This window comes from Homo sapiens, chromosome 5, assembly GCF_000001405.40.
Source record: "Homo sapiens chromosome 5, GRCh38.p14 Primary Assembly".
Taxonomy (NCBI): domain Eukaryota; kingdom Metazoa; phylum Chordata; class Mammalia; order Primates; family Hominidae; genus Homo; species Homo sapiens.
The window spans coordinates 78762906-78781736 of record NC_000005.10 but is presented as its reverse complement, the minus strand read 5'-3'; the positions used below and the strand labels follow the sequence as shown (position 1 = coordinate 78781736).

At 44.9% G+C, this 18831-nt stretch overlaps 1 protein-coding gene and 1 long non-coding RNA gene across 6 annotated transcripts in view, besides 1 other annotated feature; both read left to right on the top strand.

Moving 5' to 3' along the window:
* ARSB (arylsulfatase B) overlaps positions 1–4528 on the top strand; it is a 208750-nt gene extending 204222 nt beyond the window's left edge. For both annotated transcript variants that reach the window (XM_011543390.2, NM_000046.5), the window contains one exon: positions 1075–4528. In XM_011543390.2, the coding sequence (XP_011541692.1) occupies positions 1075–1340 (266 nt within the window). In that variant the 3' untranslated portion in view covers positions 1341–4528. The remainder of the gene's footprint in view (positions 1–1074) is intronic.
* Positions 8937–18831, top strand: part of LOC124900191 (uncharacterized) — a 115042-nt gene continuing 105147 nt past the window's right edge. For 3 of the 4 annotated variants that reach the window (XR_007058832.1, XR_007058830.1, XR_007058833.1), the window contains exons 1-3: positions 11674–11798; positions 13685–13895; positions 14873–14979. This is a non-coding gene — a long non-coding RNA (uncharacterized LOC124900191). Of the gene's footprint in view, positions 10029–10149; positions 11799–13684; positions 13896–14872; positions 18414–18831 lie in introns of those variants that run through there. The other variant, XR_007058831.1, reaches the window with a different exon arrangement.
* Positions 17768–17987: an enhancer, noted in NCBI's record as "active region_22719". NCBI's record gives its function as "activates an Ori minimal core promoter by ATAC-STARR-seq in GM12878 lymphoblastoid cells {active_cell/tissue: GM12878}" and the evidence as "EXISTENCE:reporter gene assay evidence [ECO:0000049][PMID:35858748]".

Genomic DNA, 18831 nt, shown 5'->3' with positions numbered 1-18831 from the left:
TCTCTGGAAAGAGAGGACATTATCACTCTTGTTCTAACCGTTTCCCACCTCTTCCTCTGTGGCTCCTCCTCAAGGCCCCTAAGCCCTACCACTTACCTCACTTTGCTCAGATACCTGAAATCTTAATTTGTCTTTCTAATCTTTCATGATCCCTCCTGATATATGTCCTAGAAAGACAACTATTTATTCAGGGTTTTCTTTTCCCAATTCTAAGACTCCGCCTGTTCCCAATTACACAGCTTCCATCATTGTCATGGTGCAAGTAAGCTTTCCCAGTGGATCATCAAGGAGAAGCTTACCGAAGTAACAAATGCCTTTTGCAAAACATATCTCTGGGGCTGCTGAATGAGGAGATAGGAAGAAATGGTTTAACCTACTCGTCCTAACCAAAAAAAAAAAAAAAAAAAAAAAAAGAGAGAGAGAGAGAAAGACAGAGAGAATTAACTGTAGCAGGGGTGAAAGGAAGAAATGTCACTCTTATGCTTCATGGAAAATACGGATTTTAAATATATGTGGCTATCAAGCACAGCACATTTAGCTAACAAAGAGAGTCTCTGAGAGCTACACCCTCAACCAGTGGTATAGCTGGGGAAGGAGGTTGCTCCTCTGATTATATTCTCTAAGAGTGATATCTTTTCAATACTTTTAAAATATGTGGGATGATGGTTAAGGCTGTGATGTAATTAATCAATGTTTACAATGAGAACATTTTTGGCGTTTGCAATATGACAAGTCTTTTTTGACTGGGATTGTCCCATGTATTGCAAGACTTTAGCATCACTAGCTCATGCCCACTAAATGCCAGGAGCACCCCTATGCCCTAGTCCTTGTGACAAGGACATACACACATGCACACACGTTTCTGGGTGTCCTTGCTTGTGAAGCAGTGAGACATGTCTAGTTAAAGCACCAGAAGTCAAGTCTGAGAAGCATCTAGAGACAGCATCTAGGGCCGCATCTTTTTATGTTTCCACACCCACAACCCAGTGCAGCCTTGGCCTCAGACTCCTTCCCTGAAATTAGAACCTGCCTCTGTGCTTCTCCCTCAGTAAACTGTTTTGTTTTCTTTGCTAGGCTGTGGTTACTGGTTCCCTCCACCGTCTCAATACAATGTTTCTGAGATACCCTCATCAGACCCACCAACCAAGACCCTCTGGCTCTTTGATATTGATCGGGACCCTGAAGAAAGACATGACCTGTCCAGAGAATATCCTCACATCGTCACAAAGCTCCTGTCCCGCCTACAGTTCTACCATAAACACTCAGTCCCCGTGTACTTCCCTGCACAGGACCCCCGCTGTGATCCCAAGGCCACTGGGGTGTGGGGCCCTTGGATGTAGGATTTCAGGGAGGCTAGAAAACCTTTCAATTGGAAGTTGGACCTCAGGCCTTTTCTCACGACTCTTGTCTCATTTGTTATCCCAACCTGGGTTCACTTGGCCCTTCTCTTGCTCTTAAACCACACCGAGGTGTCTAATTTCAACCCCTAATGCATTTAAGAAGCTGATAAAATCTGCAACACTCCTGCTGTTGGCTGGAGCATGTGTCTAGAGGTGGGGGTGGCTGGGTTTATCCCCCTTTCCTAAGCCTTGGGACAGCTGGGAACTTAACTTGAAATAGGAAGTTCTCACTGAATCCTGGAGGCTGGAACAGCTGGCTCTTTTAGACTCACAAGTCAGACGTTCGATTCCCCTCTGCCAATAGCCAGTTTTATTGGAGTGAATCACATTTCTTACGCAAATGAAGGGAGCAGACAGTGATTAATGGTTCTGTTGGCCAAGGCTTCTCCCTGTCGGTGAAGGATCATGTTCAGGCACTCCAAGTGAACCACCCCTCTTGGTTCACCCCTTACTCACTTATCTCATCACAGAGCATAAGGCCCATTTTGTTGTTCAGGTCAACAGCAAAATGCCTGCACCATGACTGTGGCTTTTAAAATAAAGAAATGTGTTTTTATCGTAATTTATTTCCCCCCAGCCATTGCTCACTCTGTCTAGACTTCCTGCCACTTCCAATTCTTCTGTGGCTTTTCCTGCCTTTCCTTTTGACCTCAGTAGTCCTATCCCTGGGAAGGCCACTTTGCTTCTCTACCTGAGCACCCCTGATTTCTGGAACGCTGCTGAGCCCTGCCTTACTTTTGCCCCTAGGGCTGAAGCTAGAGGCCTCCCCGTAATAGGCGGTGGAGTTGCTCTGTGAGGATGTTCATGGTAGACACTAAGAGGGCTGGGTGGGAGATGCTTGGCTCTGTGGCATCTGTTCAGCGAGGCTTTTCCTATATTGCATGGAGTTAGTCATTGTGATTGTAGCTTTATTTCATAATATATTAAGACTTGCACTGCTATTTACTAGCAGTGAGAAGAAACCTCAGGAAAGGATATGAAAAAGCAAGTGGCCAGTGTCTGGGATACTGGGCCTTGGTAAAGCAGAGGAGGGCACACCCACAGTCCTCTTATTCTCTGTTTTACTGCTTGTTTTGAGGTTCTGGGGTCTGGCAAAGAGGATGCAGTTTGACACCTGCAGCCCTTTCTCAATCCCACTAATGTCTTACTAATGTGGAACAGTCCATATTAGCTCCAGAGAGTGTCAAACCCAGAGAAATGTGTGCAAAAATGATACTCTTTTCTGCATTAGCCCCACCATTGTGTTCACCAATGCTTGGAACACTGCCTGAAGGCACTCATTTTTTAATTTTTATTTTATTTTTAATTTTTTATATCTTTATGAGACGATCTCACTCTGTCACCAGGTTGGAGTACAGTGGTACAATCACAACTCACCGTAGCCTCAAACTCCTGGGCTCAAGTGATTCTCCCACCTCAGGCACCCAAATAGCTGGAACTACAGGCATATACCGCCACACCCAGCTAATTTTATTTTTTGAAAAGACAAGGTTCCCTATGTTGCCCAGCTGGTCTTAAACTCCTGGGCTCCAGCAATTATCCCAGCTTGGGCTCCAAAAGTGCTGGGATTACAGGCATGAGTCACCATGCCTGGCCTCATTTTTTAAAACAAATGAATAAATGGACAAATGAGTAAATGAGAAAGTCTCACACCATGAAAGATGCTAGTCCAATGAGCTGAATACAGAGGTAATATAAATGTCTTCCAGCTGTTGCTTTTCTGTTCTCAAGCTGCCCCTCCTGGGGTAGGAGCATAATCTACATCACTGGGCAGTCACAGGACACTCTATAGCAAGGTTGTAGCGTCCTCTCCAGTGGGGGGAGAAAAGGAACTGTGCCTACCAAAGGTACTCTCTTGTCAGCAATTTCCATTTCTATACTTTATGGGACACTAGAAACTAAAAGCAACAAATAATCTGATATAAGTCCTTGTATAGTCATCCTTCAATTCAGTAGCAATATTTTCTGGTCACTACTAACCTGTATTGTATTAAAATGAGACTATTGGAAGGAAATGGTGCTAAAACTAATAACATCTCTTACCAACCTTTACCCAACTCCTGGGTTGGCAAACAGCTGACCAAACTGCCATCACCTCCCACTTGGAAGTGTATGGCCGACAGCATGAAATAGCTGAGCCCAGATGTTCCTTCTGCATCCTCCGAATCCCAGGGCTGGGTGTAGGTAGCCGTTGGAGGCCATCGCTACAGGGCACCTATCTGTTATCGCTGCTGTCCTCCCAACAGCTGTCTCCAGTTCTAGTTCCTTGGTTTTCAGGCACAGTGGGGGATGTTCTGCACCCAGTGGACTTCAAAAGAGTTTTGAAGACTTAATTTTTTGTAAAACAAGTACTTGAGATTTTGGTTTATCCATAATAGAATGTATTTCATTAGATTCTCTGATTCTATATAAGAATGTGAAAAGATTGATATATTGTTGTTAGAAATAATGTTATTTCTTTCCAATTTTTTTTTTTTTTTTTTTTGAGATGGAGTCTCGCTCTGTCACCCAGGCTGGAGTGCAGTGGTGTGATCTCGGCTCACTGCAGCCTCTAACTCCCAGGTTCAAGCTATTCTCCTGCCTCAGCCTCCCAAGTAGCTGGATTACAGGCATACACCACCACGCCTGGCTATGTTTTGTATTTTTCGTAGAGATAGGGTTTCACCATGTTGGCCAGGCTGGTCTCAAACTCCTGACCTCAAGTGATCCACCCACTTCAGCTTCCCAAAGCACTGGGATTACAGGTGTGAGCCACTGTGCCCGGCAAATTTTTTTACCTTTACAGAAGGTTTTGCTTATTTAATTGTGAGCTCATTTTTCTTTGTTACTTTTGTCCCCCCAGATTTGGGGGACAAAATAAAATTAATCTTTTAAAATGTGTCAGCCATATGTATGGGGCTTCCATTTGGGGTGAGGAGAAAGTTCTGGAACTAGATAGTGGTCATGGTTATACAACATCATAAATGCAATTACTGCCACTGAATTGTATGTTTTAAAGTGGTTAAAATGTTAAGTTTTATGTTTTATTACAATTTTTAAATGTGTCAACCAACTTTATAGTACATAAATTATATCTCAGTAAAGCTGTTAAATAAATAAATATAGTAAAAATTTTAGAACTAAAAAAAGTGTCAATCATTGCCCTAAGAATATAAACTATAAAATAAGGTATTAGAGGGAGGTCAAGGAAGGGTAGGAGTGAAAACAAAGTGACAGTAAAAGAGAGTATTAGCTCTCTATTGCTGCGTAACAAATTACCCCAAAACTTAGCAGCTTAAAACAATAAACATTCATAACTTCACACATTCTATGAGGGTAAGGACACTGGGAGTGGTTTAGCCCAGTGGTTCTGGCTCAGGGTCTCTCGTGAGATTGTTGTCAAGCAGGCCTGTGGTCATCTGAAGACTTGAGTGGGGCTGCAGGCTCCACTTTTAAGCTGACTCACTCACAAGGCTCTTGGCTGGAGGCCTCAGCTCCTTGCCATGTGGGCATCTCCACAGGCTGCTTGGATGTCCTCACACATGGCAGTTAACTTCCTCCAGAGCAAATAAACAGGGAGCCACAGGGCCTTTCATGACCTAGTCTCTAGAGGTGTACACTGTCACTTATACCATTTTTCTATTTGTTAGAAATGAGTCACTAAGGCCAGCCCATATTCTAGGGGAGGAAAATCTTACTTTTCAAAGGGAGTGTCAGATTTGTGGACTTATTTCACACCACATCAGAGGAAAATGGTCTCGTTTAGCCTCCTGGGGAATAGATTGTCAAGTCCACATGCATTTATCAAATGCTGCTGTTTGAAAAGAGATGGTAGAAAAAGCATTCAACTTTGCTATTTAGCAGTAGACTAACCATGAACAAATCACTTCATCCTCTCTGTGCCTCGGTTTTTTTCCTGGTAAAGTGATGAGTTGAATTAGATAATTGCTAAAGTCTCATATCCCTAGTGTCCAGAACAATGCCTGGCACACAGATATTCTATAAATGTTGGTTGATTGGCTCTCAAATGACTGAAATCCAATGGGAGGATGTGAAATAATACTGTGCTAAAAAAAATAGCCTGAGATTTTCTAAACTCATTTCCTAAATCTCATTTTCTGAAAGTATTCTAATAAAAGCTGCTAATTTTTTTGAGTGCTTACTATATGCCAGGCATTGTACTAGCTGCTTTAAAAAGAGTATCTTGTTTAACATAATTTTTTTCTTGCCTCTTTTTTTTTTTTTTTTTTTTGAGACAGGGGTCTTGCTCTATCACCCAGGCTGGTCTCAAACTCCTGCACTCAAGAAATCCTCCCACCTCAGCCTCCCAAAGTGCTGGGATTATAGGTGTGAGCCACCATACCCAGCCTTTAATATAATTTTTAAATAACTGGAAGTAATGTTTACATTCATTCAATCTTAATTGTAAAAGGCTTACTTGGTTTTCATCTCTTCCATTTTTTCAATAGCCAATCTTTGTTCAAGTGTAAAATGATTTATGTCAAGAAAATAACCAAAATGGGCTTGTAAACATAAACATTTGTGAATAAAACATTTTAAATGATGCAGAGGAATTCACTATTTGAAGAAACCTTTTTGTAAATCTTTTTGTAAATGCAAATTTTTGCTTTTGTATTTCCAAAATCTAAATACATTGACTTCGGTTTCCTAAATTGAGGTTTTGCTGCACAGGTTTTCCTGAAGAAGGATTCATACCCATGTATCAGGTGCTGGGGAGGAGGTATAGTGACCAGAGAAATGATACAAACAAAACTAAAGGCATGGCCCCTGCACCTAAGAGGCTTACAACCTAATTCTATGATATAAAGTTCTTTTCAGCTTAAGTGTTTTTAAGAAAATTGGCCAGGTGCAGTGGCTCACACCTGTAATCCCAACATTTGGGGAGTCTGAGGCGGGAGGATCGCTTAAGCCGAGGAGTTCAAAACCAGCCTGGGCAACATAGTGAACCCCCGCCATCTCTACAAAAAAATTTAAGAATTAGCTGGGCATGGTGGTGCATGCCTGTAGTTCCAGCTACTTGGGAGGCTGAGGTGGGAGGATTGCCTGGGAGGTCGAGGTTGCAGTGAGCCATGATCACACCACTGCACCGCAGCCTGGATAAGAGTGAGACCCTGTCTCAAAAAAAATTAAAATAAAATGCCAGCTGTATTAGTCCAGGTTCTCTAGAGGGACAAGACTAATAGGATAGATGGATATATGAAAGGGAGTTTATTAGGAGAATTGAGTCACATGATCACAAGGTAACGCCCCACAATAGACTGTCTGCAAGCTGAGGAGCAAGGAAGCCAGTCCGAGTCCCAAAACCTCAAAAGTAGGGAAGCCAAGAGCCTCTGGCAAATCAAAGGTATAGGTCCAAGAGTCCAAAAGCTGAAGAACTTGGAGTCTGATGTTTGAGGGCAGGAAGCATCCAGCACGAGAGAAAGATGGAGGCCAGAAGACACAGCCAGTCTAGTCCTTCCATGTTCCTCTCCCTGCTTTTATCCTAGCTGCACTGGCAGCTGATTAGATGGTGCCCACCCAGATTGAGTGTGGGCCTGCCTCTCCCAGTCCACTGACTCAAATATTAACCTCCTTCGGCATCACCCTCACAGACACATGCAGGAACAATACTTTGCATGCTTCAATCCAATCAAGTTGATACTCAATATTAACCATCATACTGGCCGATACTAAATATATTGAAATAATTATTATCCTTTGCAGTGACCACTTAAACTTTAAATCCTATTTTTTGTTCAAGTAGAGAATAGTCATACTGTGTATAGACTGGTTCCTGCTGAAAAGCCCTGACCATCCCTGCTACCCAGGTGGATTCAGATGGTATAGAAGTAACCACCACGTCTCTTGTACCTTTGCCCTGGTGCCATGGGAGCCACCGCCAGGATGGCAGAAGAGGAGAGCGGCAACTCCCTGGGCCTGACATCAGGGATTTGTGGCCATCAGGAAGCTGGAGAGATGTTTTCATTCTCAAACTAATTCACCAAAGTCACCAGTCATTGACTGCACTTCAGATATTTCATTTAATCACCTTTATTACTTTTCTGACAATAGAGATAATACATATTACTATTACAATTTTTAAAAATATAGAAAACATAACAAAATTAAACAATCCGTAAACCACCACCTGGAGACAGCCATCGTGAACCTTTACACCCCTGTAACAAGACAGTAATTAAGTGGCCCCTTCCCAGGTTGGTTTTCAAATCCTACTGTGCCCTGCTGAGCCCTCTTAGAGATTCAAGATGGTAGGTAAATGTCAGTCAGTCTTCAGGAAATCTTCCTTTTAATCTCATTAATGAGGTCCAGATGTTCCCAGGATATTGACTCCAAAGGGCCGTGGTTTCACACTCACACCCCACCCTGTGCTCACTCTCCTCCACGGGCCTCAGGAGGGGGCCTGGACACCGAGGGGCCAGTGTGTGATCATTCAGGCCAGCAAGGAAGGGACTCTGCCTCTAGTGCAGACCAGAGCCTTGCAGAGCCAGACAGAGGAGATAAACACGCACGCTCCTCCTTCCTCGGGAAAACAGGTAAACAGGATTTACTGGGCTTTTATTTGCATTAAATGAATCGAAGTTTAGATTTGCCCTTTATGTCAACATTTTATAGGTGAAATCATTCAAGCTCATGCTGTAACATGCACTGGGTGAAGATAAAGGCACCCAAGCCCGGCCAGACCCCAGCAGGGGGTGAGGGGGCATTTGATGAGTCCCTGCTCCCAGGATGCTCACTTGCAGCGGAGCACAAACGTGAGGCTTGGACAGGAGGAGAAGGACCCAGGACAGGATGGGAAAGCAGAGGGGCTCACCAGTCAGAGGAATGCTGCGTGAAGCCCAGCAAGGAAACCTACATTGTCTTAATTTTTGTTTTTTGTTTTTTGGGTTTTTTTTGTTTGTTTTGTTTTGTTTTGTTTTTGAGACGGAGTCTTGCTCTGTCGCCCAGGCTGGAGTGCAGTGGCGCGATCTCTGCTCACTGCAAGCTCCGCCTCCCTGGTTCACGCCATTCTCCTGCCTCAGCCTCCGGAGTAGCTGGGATTACAGGCACCCGCCACCACGCCCGGCTAATTTTTTGTATTTTTAGTAGAGACGGGGTTTCACTGTGTTAGCCAGGATGGTCTTGATCTCCTGACCTCGTGAGCCACCACGCCCGGCCTGTTTTCGTTTTTTACCCACATGAGAGCTGTGAATTCTTTCTGTATAAAGTATTTCTAAAGGCAAAACCTTTGATTAGCATGTACTCTGGATCTGTTAGGGAAGCAGCCGGTTTGGTTTGAAAAGGTTATTTGGACCGGGCGCGGTGGCTCACACCGGTAGTTCCAGCACTTTGGGAGGACGAGGCGGGAAGATCGTTTGTGCCCAGGAGTTTGAGACCAGCCTGGGCAACATGGCGAAACCCTATCTCTACAAAAAATATATGTATAAAAATTAGCCGGGCGTGGTGGTGCATGCCTGTGGTCCCAGCTATTTGGGAGGGTGAAGTGGGAGGATCACTTGAGCCTGGAAGGTCGAGACTGCAGTGAGGTGAGAGTACATCACTGCACTCTGACAGCCTGGATGACAGAGCAAGACTCCATCTCAAAAAAAAATAAGAAAAAATAAAAGGTTACTTGTTGGGGCTTCATAATAGGGCATCTGGTTTTCCTTGGTTCTTAGGCCAGAGCATGAATGAAAGTGTTTGGCTTTAACTCATACAGGTGATGGAAATATGGGGCCCCCCCACATCCAGGACTCCAGGACAAGGATAAGGGTTCGTCTCAGTGGGACCTGCAGTTCTATCACTGAGGTCCACAGATGCTCCTTTCCCGCCCAAAAAAGCAGCTGGAACGCCACAGGCAGCCAGGGCCGGGGGGATGCCAAGCGATCTCAGAGGTTCTGCAGCCCCCCAGCAGCCCCTCCCAGCCCCACCTCAGACCGCTGGGGCCCATGCAGGCCTTTTCGTCAGTGGGGGTCTTACCATGGTGCCTTTCCTTAAATTGATATTCTTTACTTATTCTAGTACTTTAAAGGAATGCTTTTTTATTACCATGATAAAAGAAATACCTCTATCATTGATAATCACAAAAATAGACACAGTAATATGTATTGTTCTTAAACTTGAGCTAGGAACTGTTTCCAGCATGGAAGGAAAGAAAGAGAATAAAGAGTGAATCACTTTTCACTGTAATTCAATGTCGGTAATGTCAGGTGTATGACTTGGCAACACTGCCCTAGAGACAAGGAAATGTTTCTGGGGCAGGCACGCTGGCTCTGATGTGCCCAGGCCCGACGCCTGGTGCTGGGTGGTGCTCCATGGTGACTGGCGACTTCACTTCCTGATGCACTACTCTCCCCTCCGCCTGTCATTTCCTCCAAGAAGAATCACAGCTGCACTTTTTTTTCTAACAGTTTGTTTTGCTCGTGTGCCTGGAGACCCCAAAGCAAGGGAAGAATTCTAAATGAGTGAAATGTATAAACACGATAAGAAATCAACATACACATCCTCTGCGAGACAGTAGAAAATCATAGGATCCAACCAAAGGAAGAAGCCAGGAAAGTCAATAAACAAGTTGGTAGAGATGCAATAGACAGAGATGAAATGTTTAGAAGAAATAAGTCAATACTGAGAGGAGGAAGAAAGAAACAACACGTAAGTTTCTTGGGTTAAGAAGTTCCCTGATTACATCAGTATAGTGTGGGAAGTAAAAGAAAGAACAAAAGAAGTTCCCTGAGTCAGGTTCTGATCCCCTTTCTCTACCTTAATTTCCAAGGTTGTGTGAAAGGAAAAGAAAAACTGGGACCCCAATTCACTATACCAGAAGAAAAAAAAACTAAGCTGAAAGCTGACTCATGCAGAAACTGCCTTTCCTTCTGTTCCTAAGCAGATAAAGCTAAGCTACAGATAAAAGGTTAAATATCTTCACAGGTTCACCTTATCGGTAAAGTGCCAATTTACTGAGCTTGAGACGAATACATAATTGACTATTGTCCTACCTGATCCTTTTTCTTGCAACACGTGGATTTCCATACCCTCCCTCTTTCTTCTCCAGCCTGCTTTTCCCCTTTAATTGTTTTTGTTTTTTGACTGGATCTTGCTCTGTCACCCAGGCTAGAGTGCAGTGGCACGATTTTGGCAAACTACAACCTCTGCCTCCCAGGTTCAAGCAATTCTCCTGCCTTAGCCTCCTGAGTAGCTGGGATTACAGGTGTGCGCCACCATGCCCAGCTAATTTTTGTATTTTTAGTAGAGATGGGGTTTCACCATATTGGCCAGGCTGGTCTCAAACCCCTGACCTCAGGTGATCCACCTGCCTCAGCCTCCGAAAGTGCTGGGATTACAGGCATGAGCCACCACACCCAGCTTCCCCTTTAAATATTGAAGCCATCTCTCAAAATTATCTTTGGAGAAAGGCACAAACCCCAGACCATTTCTTTGATTCCGTGCTTTTTGCTTCTGGGCATGTCCTTAACCTTGGCAAAATAAACTTCTAAATTGATTGAGACCTGTCTCAGATACTTTTTGGTTTACAATTATAATCTATGGTCCCCTAGATCATAAGGGCCCTTCCTATACCCCAGGAAACTCAGTGTTACTAATACCTAGAAATTGCCCCTTTTCTGTCTCATCAGCCAGCCCGTAGCCCCTGGGTGCCCACGTGGCCTCACCTGGCCCCAGTTCACCACAGCCTCTTTGGATTCTGTGGTTTAACTCATCAGATGTGCCATATCTTGCTAATTACAGGAGCAAGGTAAGGAACTAACCTTTACTAAGGATGCATTATTGGCCAGACACTACTGACTCTTACAGTGGCCACTAAACCCTTCACAATAATATCTACTCTTTAGATAAATGTTTTTGCCATTTTAGAAATTATGTTGCGTGAAGTCGCTCGGCCAGTAGCATTGGAATTGGAGCCCAGACTCAAAGCTCTTAACTCAAAGCCCCCGCTCTGTTCTCCCGCGCATGGTTGGACCCCTAGCCCTTGGCCCCCTTCCCTTGCCTTTGACCTGCCCCTCAAAGGACTGAGGATAATTTGTAGGAAATCCTGTTCAAGCAATCTATGATCCAGGTAATCTGTGGTGAGTGATGGCCAAAGCTAGAGTTGAAGAAGAACACCAGCATGACAAAGGCATGTGAGGAGTGGGGGCGGGGAAGCCAGGGAGGGGGCTGGCTTCTTGGTTCAGCCAAGAAGCAGCAACAACTAAAGAGGGAGACATAGTAGGATGAAATGCTAATTAGTGGCTTCCGGGATTTTACAAATATCTTTAAATTTAGTGAGTTTTTCATATACTTCACATGAAAATCGCCTCCCCACACACAGGTCGCAGAAGTTGGTGGCCATCTGTGCCATCTTCCCAGTGAACTTGCAGACAAAACCAACAGCACAATGCTGATATGAAGAACAGATGAAATTTACAGGTGGGTTCATAAAGTATCACTACAGCTTCTGATGAGAGTGCTGGCTTGAGAACGGAATGAATGTTGTATCTAGTTCTATGACCAGTTGACATCAGCTGTTATTTAATCTGTAGTTACAGTCAGGTACCGTCTTGCTGAATTCTGGAGGAGGAGGTGATTTCTACTAGCAACGTAGACTGTTCTCTTGGCTACAAAGTCAATAGGTCCTTACATTCTGTGGTTAGGGCTCTGAGGTGAAGAGTAACAAATACTTCAGATACAAAGAATATTTCTGAAAGTTCTGTTTGTAATGATTTATTTCTGGGGATTGGGATGAACAAAAGTGTTGGCCTGGATATGTGGACTTTCTTATAAAGAATATTGCTTTGTGAGGATCTCTGTTTTGGGGTGTTTTTGTTTTGTTTTGTTTTGTTTTTAGATGGAGTCTTGCTCTGTCACCCAGGCTAGAGTGCAGTGGCGTGATCTCAGCTCACTGCACCCTCCACCTCCTGAATTCAAGCGATTCTCCTGCCTCAGCCTCCCAAGTAGCTGGGACTACAGGCACATACCACCATGCCTCTGGGTTTCACCATGTTGGCCAGGCTGGTCTGGGACTCTTGACCTCAGGTGATCCACCTACCTCAGCCTCCCAAAGTGCTTGGATTATAGGTGTGAGCCACTACACCTGGCCAAGGATCTATCTTTGAAAAGAGGAACAAAAACTATGTTTAGGTTCAGATAGCATGTTTTGGATTAATATATAAATTAGAGGACTCCCTACTGGTCAACACAACCTGGTTAGAAAAATACATTGATGGCTAAACTGGCAACATTGTTGCCCCATGTAGCTGGGGCCAGGCATGGTGATTCATGCTTGTAATCCCAGCACTTTGGGAGCCCGAGGCTGGCAGATCACTTGAGGTCAGGAGTTCGAAACCAGCCTGGCGAACATGGCGAAACCACATCTCTACTAAAAATACAAAAATTAGGTGTGGTGGTGCATGCCTCTAATCCCAGTGACTCAGAAAGCTGAGGAAGGAAAATCACTTGAACCCGTGAGATGGAGGTTGCAGTGAGCTGAGATTGCGTCACTGCACTCCAGCCTTGGTGAGAGAAAGACTTTATCTCAAAAAAAAAAAAAAAAAAGTTAAGTAGCGAAGCCAGAGTCATTATGTCCACCACCCCTCTTACTGTTTGGGATGAGGCAAAGTCCCTGCTTCTCAGGCAACAGTTTTGGGGAGTCACCTTCTGAAGACAGGACCTGACTGGGGCTGCTGTGGGCTTCCGCTGATGGTGCTTTTAGAATATGTCATCCCGGCTGGGGCGGGTGGCTCATGCCTGTAATTTTAGCACTCTGGGAGGCCAAGGTGGGTGGATCACGAGGTCAAGAGATCGAGACCATCCTGCCCAACATGGCGAAACCCCATCTCTACTAAAAACACAAAAATTAGCTGGGTGTGGTGGCGGGTGCCTGTAGTTCCAGCTACTCAGGAGGCAGAGGTAGGAGAATCGCTTGAACCTGGAGGCAGAGTTTGCAGTGAGCCGAGATCGGGCCACTGCACTCCAGCCTGGATGACAGAGCGAGACTCTATCTCAAAAAAAAAAAAGAGAATATGTCATCCTGGTGATCACCCCAGTCCAAAACATCTAGTTACTAAGCAAAGCCAAACTAGGTCCAGCTAACCCATCCCCAGATGGCGGGAGACAGCCTCTCTTGGGACAGGGAAGGCATTGAGCAGTAAGCAGTGGGTGCCATTAGCCCTTCCCTTTGTTACTAAGGTTTTATCCATAACATCGTCAGTGAGTAGAGATTGACCTTACTTTTACCAGTACTTATTATACATTTTTAAGATTCTTGCTGGATTGACAGACTTTAAAATGTTAATTTGTGTTTCTTTCACTGCCAGATGTTTGCACTTTTCCATGTGTTTATTGGCCCCCATGGCTCTTTCCTGAGTGGCCTGACCAGCCCTCTCCCCCAGTCTCCTGGGCCCCATAGTAGAGGGAGCAGAAGAGGGTGGGAAGGAGCCCCAGCTGGGAGGAGACAGGAAGGAAAAACCAGCCTTTGTTTGAACCTGAACCCTCGTCCCAGGCTGGCTACCAGTCCTCCTGTTCCAGGTGGGCATTCTGAGCACACAGCTGTCTCTGATTTCTATTTTGTGTCTGGAATTGTGGCAGGAGGTGAGGAAAAATGAAGAGGTAGCCAGAGAATAGTCAAGGTCCTTTTCCTTTCTATGGACAGAGCCAAAGTGAGACTTGTGAGCACATTGGAAAGGCTACTCACTTGGTGATCCTTCAAAGTGATCTTTTTTTTTTTTTTTTTTTTTTTGAGACAGAGTTTCACCCTGTCATCCAGGCTGGAGTGCAGTGGCACAATCGTGGCTCACTGCAACCTCTGCCTCCCAGGTTCAAGCAGTTCTCCTGTCTCAGCCTCCTGAGTAGCTGGGATTACAGGTACACAGCACCACACCCAGCTAACTTTTGTATTTTTAGTACGGAAGAGGTTTCACCGTGTTGGCCAGGCTGATCTCAAACTCCTGACCTCAGGTGATCCACACACCTCAGTCTCCCAAAGCGCTGGGATTACAGGCATGAGCCACTGCACCTGGGCAATGTTCTTTTAATGTTGGGACATTAATATTGGAATAAGGGCCCTGCTGGGAAGAGCTAGAGAGGGAAGGCCACTGGGCGCTGCCCAGTCCTTGCCCTCTGATCCAAGCACACAGGTCTGGTCCCAGTTGGAACACCCTTTGGCAAAAGGAAAGCCCTACAGATAACTGACTGCCTTTTTTAGAAAGCAATTTAACAACCACTTATTTCTTACTAAGAGTAGCCCTTGGGACCATCTCACCCTCACTGCCAAGGGTCTTACTCCACCCAACCCCACACAGGCTTTCCCTGAGAGGGGTTCTGAGGATCTCTGGGGATGGTGCTTTGATGCCTTCTGGCCCTTCTACTTGGGTTGGCCCATCCCTGAGTCTGGATCAGTTCTGGGAACCCCTGAGCCCCTTTTCTTTTGAGCAAGGCTCAGTGCAGGAGGTCATGCCTTCTGTATAAACACCTTATTATAATGAAAACTTTCATTCAATTTTTAGCCTTCCTTTTCCAGTATGAATAATCCCAGTTTCTTTCATCTGAACTCCTGAACCTCCTTCAGCTCTTCCAGTCCACCAGCACCCTCGTGATTCTGGGCTTAACACAGGTGAGTCCCTTGGTGCAGTTCATTCTTCTCTTTTCTCTTTGCTTGACTAACGCATCCTTCAGGTTTAAGCTGAAAGGCCCCTTTCCCTGGGAAGGTTTTCCTAACCCCGCTGAACTGGAATGGGAGTTCCTGACTCACGCATCTCCCATAGGAGTGGTCATCACACTGTATTGTTAATCAGTAGAAATGGCCCGTGTCTGCTTTGTTTCATGGAATATCTGCCTCAGAGCAGGGCTTGGCTTAGGTAATACTAGTAGGATGAGTGTTCGATTTGTTGAATTCCAAGGACCTAACCACCTTCTGATTTTAGGATGACATTTTAGTCCTTGATTTCCCTCTGGTTCTTGTTCCAAACCCTGACGTTCTGCCTGCAGACCCTGCATTCTCAGCCTCCAGGCAGCTCCACCCTGCTGCCTGCTCTAGGGAAGTCTGTATCTGGAGCTTCAAAGGGCTTGTTCTCTATTAGCTGGGAGGGCTTCAGCACATTCGTCAAATCAGGGCGGACTATTACACTATCCAGACTCCTCAGGCAAGTTTTGTTTACCCTGGGATCTCCTCCAAGATATAAGCTTATGGCTTCAAACACTTTTTATGGTCTCCAGATTTGAACAGACTCAGATTTTCCCCCTTCATCTTCCAATCCTTCCCTAAGATTTTCCCCCTTCGTTTGTTCATGCTTTTTTACAAATGCTTTTCCACGTGTGACTTCCCTGCAGAAAACTGGCTCCATCACTTATACCTGGTGCTGAGATTAGTCTTGCAAATGCCGAGGACTAGTTACAAAGGGCAGGTGATGTGCTTCCTGATGCTGTTTAGTTATCAATCCATGTTTACAGAGGCGTTCCTTCTTCCACAGGGTGGGTGTGGGTGTTCTTTTGATTTAGACACAGTGAAGATAAACTAGTGGTTTCCTTAAGGAAAGTGAAGTTGGAAAAAAAATGTAAGGCAGGAGTTGAGGTTAAAGAAGACACAAGCTTGGTCTCCTATGTGTAGACTAAGATAGCTTGAGTCTTGGTGGTCACAGAGGCCAAACTCGTCTTGGCCCCTCCCTTACCTTCCCTTTCAGAACGTTCCAATTGCTTCTGGGTTCTGTGGCTCAACATACTCCCCCCGGTTATCCATGTCTCCTGCGTACTCTGCCCGCTCCAGTTAGTCCTTGCCTCCAACTTAGCTGAGAGCCATTTAAAGTATGCCACCTCCCTGGATGCTGGCAGAGGTTCCTGGTTATCCCAGTATTCAATATCTAAGCCCCAAAGTCATAAGGTGGCATGGGGAAGCAGAAGTTGTTACAGCACAGTGTTGACTGATGAACTTACCTGCCATTTATAAAAGGTATCCAAATGCAAACACCCCATCCTCGTTAAACTTGCCTCCTCCCTCTAGCCGGCCGCCTCATGCTCCTTGTCAGCCATCCTCCCACTGATTTCCCAGCGCTGTAACCATACAGAAATATGACGCAAAGCAAATGCACTTTTTTTATGCAGTGGGCAGTGAAGTTAGAGAACTACTCAATCATGGGTAAGCCCATGGACAAAGAAGAATCTGGCAGAATTAGAGCAGCTAACAGAGGGAAAATTGACAAGGATGTGACAAAAAAGCCTCTTCAAAAGAAGGTGATTTGAATATCAAAGGTGGAAGAGAGGCCCTCAGGAAATTATGAAACTCTTGAATATTTTTGCAAAAGTATTCCTCTTCATCTTCCTGCCTTTGAATGTGAAATAAAGGAAAACATAATGTGTTGTCATATCATTTTATCAAACAGCTAAAGCCCCATATAATTGACTCATTCTTTTTTCAGTCTCAGAATTGTGCACAATCATATATACCATATCTGTTTTATAAAATAGATAAAGTAAATGTATTTTTATGATTTTGAGTTTTGTTCAGAGATAAGTTTCCAATCTAACCCTTTTTGTCCTATTTACTGTGGCAGTTTGGATGAGGTTGCAGGTAGGGAGGTATGTGAGACTGAAGGCAGGTCTAAGGAAGGAGAAAGAGTATTTTAAGCAGAAGAAACAGCTAACAGGATATGGAATGGAACTTATCCTGTTGTCTCAGGTGTTGGCCAAAGCTTCAAAGTTGGAGTCAGTGGGTAATAAGCACTCCTACATTCTAAAGAGAGGTGCTAAAAGAATCCCATTGGACTTGCTAACGAGAGGCTAGAGGTTCATGGAGAGTTCCTTGAAGGGAATGTGTAAGAGGAGCAAGCTTTGCTTTTTCCTTCCTTTTCCATGGGGAAGGGGATCCCCTCCCCCAAAGCAAGCAAAGAGGGGTCCAAGAGAACCTCGGGTTTAGGGAGATCCTTGCAAGGAGAGACAAACTCTCATTTTATGGACAGAAGCTTGTTGAGTGGTGAAAACATTTCAGCCCGCATAGTGCTACTACCAGAGTTGCGAATGCCAAAGGTCTTGGGAGAGCTTGCCATGTGTCCCCTGGAGTCTGGGGGCATGATGACTGGCACCTGGCTCTCGAGAGCTGTGAAAGCAGGAGCCAGGTGGAGCCAGGAGGCAGGGTAAGAAGAGAGAGGGCAGCTGGGTAGCAAGATGCCATTTGAAAGTGTCAAAAGGCAAATTACAACACGTTTAGTTTAAAGATCTACTTGGCTTTTATTAGTGAATCTAGAAGTGGGCAACATCTCATTCAATAAAATACAATGAGTGTTCTGATGAGCTGAGCAGAAGAGGTTAACTTTATGGACAGAAAAGGGCTGAAGAGAGCAGAAATGGGGAACAAAAAGTGGATTGGTTAGCATCAGGTTACTTTCGGTTACTTTCCTTGGAAGGATTAAAGCAGAGGGGACTTCCTTGTCATGTCGGCTAAAACTGGCCTGTTTGGGGATTTGGCTGTAATCTCTCCTGGTTTCTCAGAAGGTCAGATAAACAGCAACATTTGGTGATGTGGAACTTTAGCGGGAGTGTTTCCATTTTGGTCTGATCTGTTGGAGCCTAGTACCGGAGCTCAGCCCAAATCAATGGCCTCCTATAAGTTTTACTTAACAAAAAGTTAAGGGCGAGTGGGTTTCCATGGCCCAGTGACAGCCAGAGGTATTAAAGAGAGATACCTGTTGGGGCATAAGTGTCTAGCAGACAGGAACTCAGAGATAGAGGGCATAGGACCCAAGGCAAGAAGTCCCTGTGCTGGGAGAAGATACCTCAAAGTCCCATCAATATGCCCTAAAAAGAGTTAGGCTTAGAGTGCACAGGACACCAAACACTCAGGCAAAGCCACAAACTGCACATGGTGCTCTCTGCCCCTTCCCTCTCATTCCTCCTCATCTGCTCAGTCCTGGGGAATCCTGAAGGGTGAGAGGGGAAGGGGAAGGGGATTAAGACGGGGAGAGGGCTGTGAGAAGATTAAATGACAGAAGGAGGCTGGGCACGGTGGCTCATGCCTGTAATTTCAGCACTTTGGGAGGCCAAGGCAGGTGGATCACCTGAGGTTGGGAGTTCGAGACCAGCCTGGCCAACATGGAGAAACCCCATCTCTACTAAAATTACAAAATTAGCCAGGTGTGGTGGTGCATGCCTGTAATCCCAACTACTTGGGAGGCTGAGGCAGGAGAACCCAGGAGGCAGAGGTTGCGGTGAGCCAAGATCATGCCATTGCACTCCAGCCTGGGCAACAAGAGCAAACCTCCATCTCAAAAAAAAAAAAAAAAAAAATGACAGAACACGTCACGCTGCCTTCTCCATTGAACATCAGACTGAGCTGGATAGAGAGAATAAACTTAAATTGGATATGAGATTTAAGTTGGGTTTAGACTGGACCTTTATTTATTTGTTTTATTTATTTATTTATTTATTTATTTATTTATTTATTTATTTTTGAGACAGAGTCTCGCTCTGTCACTGA